General features: G+C 36.6%; 1 annotated feature.

The window, feature by feature from the left end:
- Nucleotides 11,181-11,707: an enhancer, noted in NCBI's record as "OCT4-NANOG-H3K27ac hESC enhancer chr4:44058850-44059376 (GRCh37/hg19 assembly coordinates)". NCBI's record gives its function as "activates a minimal SCP1, AML or CMV promoter by ChIP-STARR-seq in primed H9 embryonic stem cells {active_cell/tissue: H9 hESC(primed)}" and the evidence as "EXISTENCE:reporter gene assay evidence [ECO:0000049][PMID:30033119]".

Below are 12,845 nucleotides of genomic sequence, written 5' to 3'. Positions count from 1 at the left end.
TGGTTGTCTTCTCCTCAGGTATGCAAATGTGGAGGCTAAAGCAACTCCATCTTGGATGCAGATTCATCATATTGACTTCTGGTTAACTCCTGTTCTGGGAAGACCACTAAGATTTCCAGTTTATCTATTGTTTCCTGTGTAAGAGCACATTCTTACCATAAATTCTGCCCTATGGTCAAAACAACACTGATGCTATCATCCTTCAATTGTCCTGCACATCCCTTCTGAATCATGATTATCCTTTCCCTATGGTATGTAAGCCCTGGGTCTGGGGTAATTGCGAGGATCCACCATCTTGTCTCACTGCCATCTAAGACGGAGGCATGGCTTCTGTTTGTAAGTTTGTATTACATGTTTCTTTCTGAGAAACTGGTTATGTCAGCATCTTTCTTCGGTCTCTTCATTTCTTCAGATTTTTGGGAGTAGGTTTGCATAGACCTATACTGTGGAACATCACATTATCTTCTCTTTGTGTATATCTGCGTCCTAATCTCCTCTTCCTATGAGGACATCAGTCATACTGGATTAGGGCCCACTTCAATGACCTTATTGTAATGTACTCACCTCTTTAAAGATCCTATCTTCAAATACAGTCACATCCCAGGTACCAGGAGTTAGGACTTTGACATATGAAATTTGACGAAGGCAGGAAGTAGATGCACAACCCTAATATCTACTACAACTACTGTGTTAAAGTAGTTACTGAAATGTTGTTGGTATTTAAAACAAAAAAAAATGCTAGTAAAGTATTAATACACCAGACATTTTAAAATGAAATCGTAAATGTATATTTTCACATATAAGTATAATTTTGTATATAGTATATTTTATGCCATCTGCTTTAATTAAAGCATGTTTCTGTCATCCTATTATAAATGAATTTCTATGCACCCCTTTCTAAGCATAGGACTTAAGCTATATATGTTTTCTGTAAATCACTTGGCACTGATGATAAGAAATCTATTTCAGAGAGGGGAAAAAACACAAAAACCATCAGTAAGTCAGCCTTACAGGCCTAATATTTTAGCTGGTTTATTAGAACATGAGCTTGCTCAACTTAAAATGAAATGAAGCTCTCTCAATGAGGTAAGTTCCAGAGAAAGTGGCAGGGAGTAACTCTGTGGGACAATGTATTCTCCTACTATTCTGTTTCAAATATAATATAATATTAAGTGGGACATTATATTAAAGTATTAAAGAATGTTAAAGCACATTTTTTCACCTACGTGGAGTACTTTGTTAATGATTTGTGCCATCCCTTAAGAAAATTAGAAACCTCAGGTCAGGCACGGTGGCTCATGCCTGTAATCCCAGCACTTTGGAGGCTGAGGCAGGTGGATCATGAGGTCAGGAGTTCGAGAACAGCCTGGCCCACATGATGAAACCCCGTTTCTACTAAAAAAATACAAAAAAATTAGCCAGGTGTAGTGGTGTGCACCTGTAATCCCAGCTACTTGGGAGGCTGAGGCAGGAAAATCGCTTGAACCCAGAAGGGGGAGGTTGCAGTGAGCCGAGATCATGCCATTGCACTCCAGCCTGGGTGACAGAGTGAGACTCCATCTCAAAAAAATTAAAAAAAAAAAAAGAAGAAGAAGAAAATGAGAAACCTCAGGGAATTACTTTAGATATATCAATACAATAGAATCATTACCTTATGTGGGGCTCATTTATGATATAATGACATCTATGCTCCAACAATCAGAGGATGGAAATGGATATTGGCCATTTGTTTCAGCAGTGGAATAAGAATTTCAGTTTAATAATTGTGTAATAACATTATAATGGCAAAGACTGGGAACAAGACTGGCTTATTATTTCACATGTAGGACAAATAGCCTTGGCTTTCTTATAGTGTTAATTTCCAGATGATTTAATTATTACAGTCTCATTCAATATAAATAAACTGTAGTGTGCAGATAGCTGAGTCCTTTAAAAATAGAAAAGAATGGCAAACTTAAACAGCCCTGTAATCAGGAACTCTTAGATTATTTTATTTGAAATATTAGTCCTTTAATTTTATTACTTTTGATATGCATTTTCCAAGTAGCAAAGTTGTCCCAGGAAAGCAAATTTTCTTTATTTTTATAAATCTGAATGCAGTTTCTATATTAAGATCACATTCTGTATGATGAGAGAAAATGTAATCTAGTAAATGTCACTAGTTATGAGTCACTTCTGAGTCTTGTAAATCATTTCAGGTTTCAACTAAGTCAAATCTGGAATCACCAGAAGGAATGAAGAAGTTTCATCTGGTCCATGCCAGTCAGTTGGAGCCTTCGTGGCTTGCAGCTTCCATCAAGCTTTCTTTCTCTCTTCATACCTCACATAGACTTTTCTTCTCCCAAAGGACAGATGTCAGAGTTAGGGTTAACCTGAGTCTGGGTAGCTACCTTCCAGAGTTCCACTGCACAATTCTACTGTAACTATTTCCTGGAGTTCTCCAGAGTGCAGGATACACTGCGCAGAAGACTTTCCTACATGGCTTGGTATTTCCTGGGCCTTAACCCAGGAAGTTAGCCATACATTATCTATTTTCTCCAATGGATCCATAAACTTAAAGGAGCTACAGATTAGGCCTTGGTTTGGGGTGGAAGATAGGGGGTATGGCTTTCAAGTATGTTCAAATTTCTTGTGACTGCCTTTACAACTCTTTTCTCTGCCTTCTTCTCAAATAATCTTACTTAGTCTGAGAATACAACTGGGTAGATGAGTCTAGTAAAACCAGTACGTCTCTCATTTTTCAGTCTCTTACATAAATAAAGGCTTTTGAATATAAATGTAAAATTATAGTGTCATTGTTTTCTGGTTTGCTGTATTGCCCCTGCCTTGGGAGAGTGGCTATCACAGAATAAGTGGCAGAAGGAAGGCCTCTGGCCAGTAAAGAAATTATCAGGAATGAAAAGCAAAAGCAATATTGAAATATTGCTTCTGTACTCACTCAAGGGTAGAAATTGGGGAGGGGGTATTTGTTCTGGATTTGACAGAAGGAACGTGACAGAAGGATTATACGCATTAGTATTGGGTGTTTGCCTCTGGATTTGCCACTTTTACAATTCTTTGTCACATTTTTCAATATTTGAATTTACTAAGACATTGAAAAAATATTTACCTCTAGGAATACACATACATTTTAAACTGTGTTTAATATATAATCTTTGGGTAATATATGATAGCTATCATTATTAGTATCAGAGCTATTTGTTAAACAAAGTAGCTCTTAGTATTTTTTCTACTTACATCTGCTTTGGCTTCCATAAATATAACTTGAAAAGGCTATTTCTAATGTCCTCATTATACTGTTTAAAGTGCATATTTTTATATTATAGATGAGGTATAGTTAAGTAGATTTCCTTGAACTCAATTTCTTTTACATCAGTTTTTTTCTCTTATTCTCATTTCACTTTCTGAAAGCTGTATTCTTATGGTCTAGGACAGTTAAGCAGATTTCAAAAGCCCAATTTTCTTTTTATCAACACAATAGTATGTTTGAATTCTATAGTAATATTCTTTCATCACATCATTTTGTTTTAATTATTTCATGTTGGTGTAAAATACTTTCTGCAATTTATTTTGCATAGAATTTGAAAATAGGTTTTCCTCTGGTTGAAATAATATGAGATAGTAGATAAAGAAGAAACTTAAATAAGGTGATAGGGGATTTAAAACTATGCTGTGTGACATTGGTTGTGTATTTGGCCATCAGTTCACTTCTTTAGATTTTAATTTTCTGTCTTAGTCCACTTTGTGTTGCTATAAGGAAATACCTGAGTCTGAGTAACTTACAAAGAAAAGAGATTTATTTGGCACATGGTTTTGCAATGTGTACAAGAAGCATGGTATCAGTATCTGTTTCTGGTGAGGACCTCAGGAAGCCTCCACTCATGGCAAGAGGGGAAGTGGAGCAGGCATCACATGGTGACAGAGGGAATGAGAGAGAGAGAGGGGAGGAGGTGCCAGGCCATTTTAAAGAATCAGACACAGCAAGAATTAATAGAATGAGAACTCATTCATTACTGAGAGGATGATACCAAGACATCCACCCCCATGACCCAAACACCTCCCACTAAGTCCCATTTCTAACACTGGGGATCAAACTTCAACATGAGATTTGGAGGGGAAAAGCATTCAAACTATATCACTTTCCCTTGGATCCCTAAATATCATGTTCTTCTCACATAGCAAAATATGATCACCTTTTTCCAGTAGTCCCCAATAGTCGTAACTTATTCTAGCATCAGTTCAAAAGTCCAAAGTCCAAAGTCTCATCAGAGACTCAACACAAGCTCCTTTTAGTTGTAAGCCTGTAAAATCAAAAACAAGTTATTTTCAAGATACAGTGGTGGTACAGGCATATGGTAAACATTCCCATTCCAAAATGGTAAAACTGGTCGAAAGAAAGGGTAACGGGCCCCATGCATGTCTGAAAGGCAGCAGGGCAGACATTAAATCTTAAAGCACCAACATAATCTCATTTGAATGAATCCATATCCTGCATTCTGGGCACACTGGTGCTAAGAGTGGCCCCTGAAACCTCGGCCAGCCCTACTCCCATGGCTTTGCTGGCTGCAGTTCATGCAGCTGCTCTCATGGCTTGGAGTTCAATGCCTGTGGTTTTCTAGGCTGAGATTGCGCACTACTTGTGACTCTACTCTTCTGGGGTCTGGAGGGTGGTAGCCTCATTTCTACAGCTCCAGGAGAGTAGGCAGTGCCCCAGTGGAGACTCTGTTTAGGGGCTCCAACCCCACGTTTCCCTTCTGTACTGCTATACTAGAGTCTCTGTGGGGGCTCTGCTCTGGAGGCAGTCTTCTGTCTAGGCATACAGGCTTTCCATTACATCCTCTGAAATCTAGGTGGAGCTTGCCAGGCCTCCATCACCCTTGAAATCTGTGCACCTGTACACTGAACACCACATGGAAGTGATCAAGGATTATGGTTTGCACTCTTTGGATTTGTGTGTGGCCCGAGGAGTACCTGGGGCCTTTTGAGCTCTGGCAGAAGCCACAGTAGCAAGGATGTGAGGATTAACATGGCCCCCAAAACCATTTTGTTTTCCTAGGCCATTGGGCTTTTGAAGAGAGAGGCTTGGATATACTTTTGATTCATCCCCTGAAAATATTCTTTCTTTCTTTACCATATGACCAGGTTGCAAATTCTTCAATATTTTACACTTTGATTCCCTTCTAAGTTCCAAATTTAGGTCATTCCTTTGCTCTCACATCTGATAAAGAAGCAGCCATGCCACTTCTTTGAACACTTTTCTGCTTAGAAACTTCTTCTGCCAGATACTTTATGTAATTATTCTTAAGTCCAGTCTTCTGCAAAGTCTTAGAGCAGGAGTGTCCAATCTCTTGGCTTTCCTGGGCCACACTGAAAGAAAAGAATTGTCTTGGGTCACACATAAAATACACTAACACTAATAATAGCTTATTAACTTAAAAATTGTTAAAAAAGTCTCATAATGTTTTAAGGAAGTTTATGAATTTGTGTTGGGCTGCATTCAAAGCTATCTGGGCCACATGTGGCCCGTGGGCTGCAAGTTGGACAAGCATGTTTTAGAGCATGGACAAAATGCATCCAAGTTCTTTGTTAAGGGATAGCAAGTGTTTCTTTTGATCCAGTTCCCAATAAGTTTCTCTTCTATATCTGGGACCTCCTCAGCATGACTCTCACTGTCTATATTTTTATCAACATATCGGTCACAATCACTCAAATAGTCTTTAAAAAGTTCCAAACTACGTTTCATCTTTCCTTCTTCTTCTGAACCCCACAAACTGTTCCAACCTCTGCCCATTACCCAGTTGCAAAGCTGCTTCCACATATTCAGGTGTCTTTATAGAAACATCCCACTCCATTTACCAATATTCTGTCTCTTTTGTATTGCTATAAAGGAATACGTGAGACTGTGTATTTTAGAGGTTTATTTGGCTTGTGGTTTACAGGCTGTACAAAAAGCATGGTGCCAGCATTTGCTTCTGGTAAGGGCTTCAGGATCCTCCATTTATGGCAAAAAAGGAGGGGGAGGGGACATCACATAGTGAGAGAGGGAGCAAGAGAAAGAGAGAATGTGCCAGGCTCTTTTTAACAATCAGATATAATGACAACTAATAGAGCAAGGAGTCACTCATTATCACGAGGACAGCACCAAGACATTCATGAGGGATCTACCTGCATGACTCAAACACCTCCCACTAGGCCGCACCTAGTGGCCACCTTGGTTCCACCTTGGAGATCAAAGGTGCTCCTTAATGGAAAGAAATAAATGTCAGAAGATGAAGTAAAGTGTCTGAGACAGTCATGAAATCTGTGTACCTGCAGACTGAACACCACATGGAAGCCATCAAGGATTAAGGCTTGCACTCTTTGGATTGGTGGCCTGAGAGGTACCTGGGCCTTTTGAGCTCTAGCCTGTTGCCAGGATGCAAGGAGTAACATGGCCCCCTAAATTATGTTTAGGAAATATTACTTCTCTAATTAATAACACTTAGAGAAGCAGTATTTTCTAAAGACAATTATATTATGAGGTAAATAATTTATTTTTAGTTTGTTTATGTGCTATAAACATATCAGTCTTACAATTATAATTTTGATAGAATTATTGGATTTCATTTTCAAATAACCTGTTGCTGAAAACCCAATTTTCTTTGCTACTAACAAACTGCTCTTAATAAAGTTGAGTGAAACTATCTGTAAAACTATTGGTTGATACTAAGCTATGTGTTTGAGGGCAAAGTTGAAAGCTGGTATGAAAAACCTTGAGAAAGCAGAGGAATATAAGAGAGTGAAATTCCACACATCTCAACAAAATGCAAAAGTTGATCTTCATTAAAAATGCTCTGGGTCAGGTAGGCTGTATGCCTGTTTACAAATAAGTTGTTTTCCTCTAAGTTTGATGTTGACTTTCACTCTTCAAGAGAAATAATTGAATTCTCTCTTGTTAAATCTTCTTGATGTACAAAAGGAATGAAAGAAGGGACATTTGGAACAGCAGAAGAACATGCTTTCCCTCAGCCCCCTGCCCAACTATGATGAAGGCACAAACAAAAGATGAGCTTATCCAAAAAGCTCACAAATGGAATGAGCTGACACCTGTTTGTTATTCCTTAGTAAATTATCAAAATATCAACACAGAAACATTACAACTATAGAGTAGTGGTTTAAAATACCATTATTCGTTGATGGATAAACTTGGTTTTGTATTTAAGCTCCACTAATTTGCAATTGGCTACCCTTGGAAAAATTATTTAATCTTGTTTGATAATAGTACCTACCATGTATGTAGGTATTTATAGATAATGTTAAGATAAAATGAAATAATATATGGGTAGCTATTGACATACAGTGTAGTATACAATTATCTTTAATAATTTCTAATTGTTTTAAGCAAAAAAACAAAAAGACAAAATGGGCAATGCTACTTTTTAGAGCAAAAGGTGTAAAAAATATAGGAAAATTGGAAACTTATGTAACATTTAGTTAGGCTCCATGCTCCCCATCAAAAGGAATAATTTTAAAACTAGAAGTAACAAAATAAACAGTAGAAAGCACTTTAAAGCCAGTGATAAATGAGAAGCTAATATGGTCTGGCTCTGTGTTCATACCCAAATCTCATCTTGAATTGTAATTTGAATTGTAATCCCCATGTGTTGGGGAAGGGACTGCATGGTGGTGATTAGATCATGGGGGGTGGTTCCTCCATGCTATTCTCATGATAGTGAGTGAGTTTTCATAGATCTACTGGTTTTATAAGGCTTCTCCCCTTCATTCTGCACTCATTCTCTCTCCTGTTGCCCTGCAAAGACGTGCCTTCCTCCATGATTGTGAGTTTCCTGAGGCTTCCCCAGCCATGTGTAACTGTGAGTCAATTAAACCCCTTTTCTTTATAAATGACCCAGTCTTAGGTATTTCTTTATAGCAGCATGAGAGTGGACTAATGTGGAAGCTAATACAAGAATCAATCACTTTTTGAGGAGCCATCCTCTCTCTTTGCCTCACTTAAGGTCTCATCATCTCTCATTTGAATTATTCACTGGTGCAATAACCCCCCAGCCTCTAGTTTCTCACTGGCTCCAATGTTCCATTTATTCTGCCAACCATTGCCAAAAAAGAAATTCCACAGATCATCATACAACTCCCTATTTAAAGCCTTTAATGCCTTTGATACCTGTAGGATCGATTTGGAATGGTAATCATGGCTCTTGTCAAACTGCAGCCACATTTCCCTCCACCCTATTTCTGTCAAGTATTCATTGTAGTTACATAAAATTGTGCACTGTTACTGTAATAACATGTTTTATTTTTACCTCTTTATGCCTTATTATATATTACTGTCTTGACCCAGAGCACTATTTCTGCTCCCTATTATAACTGATAAAAAATTCCCCTTTTTCTTAAAAATTTAGTTTAAACAAGACCTTTTTGAAGACTTTCTCAAATATTCAAAGCTTAATTTAATTTTATTCCTCTCCCAGATTCTTCTGTATTTTTCAAGTCTATCTCTTTTACAATATTCTGAGTTCCTCAAAGACAGAGACCATGTCTTGTATTGATTGTTGAAATATCAATGTTCTAGTGTGATGTCTGGGATACTTTATTAACGGCTGTTGATTGAATGAATAAATTAATAAATGAGTGTGTTAAATCTTAGGACCTTTCCAGAACATATTTTAAGCAATACAAAAAGTTCACATTCTAGGAATCAGTAGAAATTCCCTTAAAACAAGTTTATGAAAATAAGCTTTTTCCTTTGTATATTTACAGTGTGTTTATAGCAGAATCTCACCGTTGTCTCCCTAAATCTATTCTGTTTATTTTATAGTAATAGAACACCTAGTTTTTAATTGGAAACATGAGGATAGAGAATAAATGATTGCACTTCCTTATTTTCTTTACAGTAAGATATGACCATATGACTAACTTTTGGACAGTGAGACATAAGCAAAAATGTCATGTAGCAGCTGCCAGAATCCTTTCCTAAAATAAATTTGTATTGTACATTCTTCTTTATCTTTCCTCTTTTCTGATGCATGAAGTGTGGATGTAATAATTGGAATTGGAACAGTCATAATGAACAATGAGTTGGTTTCAAGATTGGAGGCTATGAATGATGAGGAAACAAGGTAAGACAAACCTAGAATGTTGAGAACTGTGTAGAACAGAGCATTCCTACTAGCTTTGGACTGCCTAGCTGAAACTTTTAAGTGACAGCTAAATTTCTATTATTTTTGAGCACTTTTGCTCTGGTTCGCTGTTACATTTATTGTGAATTAGGTGGAAGAATTCAGAATGTAACTCATTATTAAGTACACACCTTACAGTATGTGAATTGCAGAGACATTAAATAACTTGCTTGATGTCATAGGGCTAGTGTGTAGTGAGATACAAAAAAGCACTTGGACCTCTAGCCTTCTAGTTTGTGACATCATGTACCTATATAACTTCCATAAACCTTTGTGTCTTTGTTTGTGTGGCATAAAAAGGCTATCCTAGAAGGTGGTCATCTATTAGATGATACATTTTGAAGGTTTAAAGACCTAATAAATATCCAGTGCTTTCCTCACCAGAGCCACCTCTGCCACATCTGTGAGAGCAGAGAAATATTACAGAAAACCTTTATCAGAATTCCAGTAAAGCACTTGGTAAATTTCCTTGGGTATGACATGGTTGTAGATAAGATAGAGAAATGTGTGTTAAGTGATAGAACAGCTTAATAAATGCATAGCTACCCCCAAAAGTGTTGTTTAATAAATGATTGCCACCTTGGAAGGAGGTGTCTTGTGACATGTTATAAGATTCTCTGTTTAGCCTTATAAATTTTCAACTGTGATTTGGATGAAGGAACATTTATCAAATTTGTAAGTGATGCAGTACTGGCAAGGGAGACTAATATTTTAGGTGATCGAATCAAGGTTCAAGAGTTTCACCCAACAATCTTAACTTGCAATCCTAAATTAACAAGAATCTTAACAGATAAACCTGCAAATTCTAAATTTATGATATAAAGATAAATTCCAGAAGTACAGGACTAGGATACTTGGATAAACAGAAGCTCAGTTTGAGTTTACCTTAAGGCTTAATGTGAGCCAATAGTATGAAGAACATGTTGATATAATTTTTTTGTTTCCAAAAACTTAGCTTAGTGCTTCTTAAAATGTGTTCTGCAAACAATTGAGGTCAGAATTCTTTGGAATGTTTCTTAAGTATTTAGGTTTTGAGATTCTAGTCCAAATATACCAATATATGAGCAAAAGCATTATAATAAGTGTCCCCAATTTTTAGGGGGGAAGGGGGAGTTTAAATCTTGAAAATCATTTGTTTGGATGAGTCCTGCTTTTAGAATATTCTCTTCCATCCAGGAAAATGAATTTTAAGAGAGATATTTGACCCTGAGACCATACAAAATCAGACCTTCATTTAGCAAAGGATTAAGACACTTTGTTTTATAAGGGAATAAATGAGAAATTGAGAATATTTATACTGTGAAGTAGAAGACCAGCAAGGTTCATAGTAAGGCTTCAAATATTGGGGGAATTTTCATTTAGAAGTAGAAGGTAGAACTGATATCATGGAGTAAAAACTACAGTGTCACATAAGGAAGAACTTTGATTTAATCAGATTAAATACATGCAAATTCAAGGCTATCATTTTCCTGAAATTATTTAGGCAGAAATTCAAAGACCATACTTCTAGTACTTCTCATTTTAGAAGGGTTTTATTAAATGATATCTAGTGTTTCTCCCTTTTTGGAGAATCTCCATGCTTTCTTTTAGCTTTTTGGTTCTTCCAATCATTCATTGATAGATAACCCAGGATTTCTATGCTAATATTTAAAAACAAAACAAAACTATTATTTCTAGTTGGCAGATAAATTAATTCAAATTGACTTAAAGAAACAAACTGCAACCTTCTCAACTTACTCTAGAAAATGTGAGATAATCACTAAATCCAAAGTACATTTCCAATAAAAAACTAAATACATTGTGAATTTTTAAAAATTAATGAAATCACTAAATTGATATTTTAATGTATTGATAAGAAGAATATGATATATGTCATATTTTCATGTGGAGTAGATTTATATTATTAAAATCACGGTCTATGTACAGTGAACATATTTTTTGTGTATCCTTAAATCTATCCTAAAATCTCAATGACAACATGTAATCTATATCTAGATTTGGAGGAAAATGTTGGTTAGCGTTATTCTTAAAGGCTGTTCATAGATAGACCCATTGCTAATATGTTACAGACCATAGGCTGTTTAGCTCCACATATAATGAAAATTAACCCTGGGCCAGGCATATTTCTCAGAGAAGGGTTTTATTTCAGGGCTTGTGCTCAAACACAAGGAAGATAGCAAAGGTGGAAGGATCCTCTGGCTGACTTCCTGACAAAGCACTCAGGGAGTTTTTATTATGCAAAGTGTAGGAATTGACATCACAGATAAGGTGCTCCAGCTGGGTTGCGGGGAGGGTATGCTGGTCAGCATATCTGGTTGTGATGATTATCTTGAATAATGGGCCACCTGGTTGTCTGGCTGATGGCAACAAGGTTGTAAATCTGCAACGTGTATTTGCTATTTAGATCTCCCGAGGCCAGTTCCTGGAATTCTGTAAGCAAAAGGCATTGTTAAACATTACGGTTTAACCATGGTTTATCAATGAGGTAGTGGTGTGGGTTTTGTGATCAGTGGGAATGCATGAAAGGATGCTCTAGTAGGGGTGAGCTGAAGCCAAGCCCCGTCCCTCCTGTCTCAAATACATTTGGTCAGCATTTGCAAAGGAATTCTACAGAGTGAGCATTAGTGCTGAGAGGAGATACGGCCTGTTCAATTCCACAAGGGGTGAAATCATTGATTTGTGTAACCTCTTTCCTGTTAGTGTCTTCAGAACTGACTGAGCTAGCAAGAAATGCAGAATTTATCTCACTATATCTTCATATGATTTTATTTATTGTCCTTGGAATATGGTCAAAAATTAATTGAGCTCTAGGGTCAAATTTATATTAACATTATTGTAAAAATCGGTTTAGTTCTTAAAGTATTAAATTTTAATAAAACTCACAGGCTACTGATTTTTTACCCTCTTTATGGTGTAAGGGAGATTACATTTGTAGATAATAAATCCCAAAATGATTTAATACTATTTGCTGTCAATTTAATATATTAAGCATTCAGCAAACAGCTATAAAAATATTTTTTAATTGTCAATTAACTTCTATTGTGAACAGAACATGTACATTGCAAAAGTGTCTTAAAAATACAGATGCTTAGCTCCTGCATTCATAGTGGTGGGGAAGTGAAAACATTAAGAGCAAAATAAATTGCATAAGCATGAGTTAATATGTTGAAAACAGGTTGTTAAGGAGTAAGAAAGTGGTAATGATGATAAGTACTGGTATAGCTTTCGAATCAGAGTTCTTACTGTTTCTAATTTTGAGGAGTTAGAGGAAAACATACTCCAGAAACTTGAAATGAAGCAAATAAAATTAGGAAATTAAAGTATAAAAATTACCACAGAGGGATTAGAGCACAGATGCACGAATATTTACTCATTGGAAACAGAATGACTTCCTCACCTGGAAGATTTGCTGTAACAGATTTATGTATTAACATATCTAAAGAAAGATTCGATTGTATAGTTTCAGAGAAGTGCTGCTTGGCCTGAGAGACAGGAAAAGGGGGGTCTCAGAGGTAAACATGGCTGATGTATATACAGAACCTCTCTGCAAGTGGAAGGGGATGGGTTCAACAGAACAATCTCTTTAGAGGCAGGCACATGGATGTCTCAGGCCTGGAGTGGGGCATGTGGATTTTCTTAGCTTATAATTTTAAGCAATTTACTAACAAT

The sequence above is a fragment of the Homo sapiens genome, chromosome 4, assembly GCF_000001405.40.
Source record: "Homo sapiens chromosome 4, GRCh38.p14 Primary Assembly".
In the NCBI taxonomy this organism is placed as follows: domain Eukaryota; kingdom Metazoa; phylum Chordata; class Mammalia; order Primates; family Hominidae; genus Homo; species Homo sapiens.
This window is presented reverse-complemented; position numbering and strand designations above follow the sequence as displayed.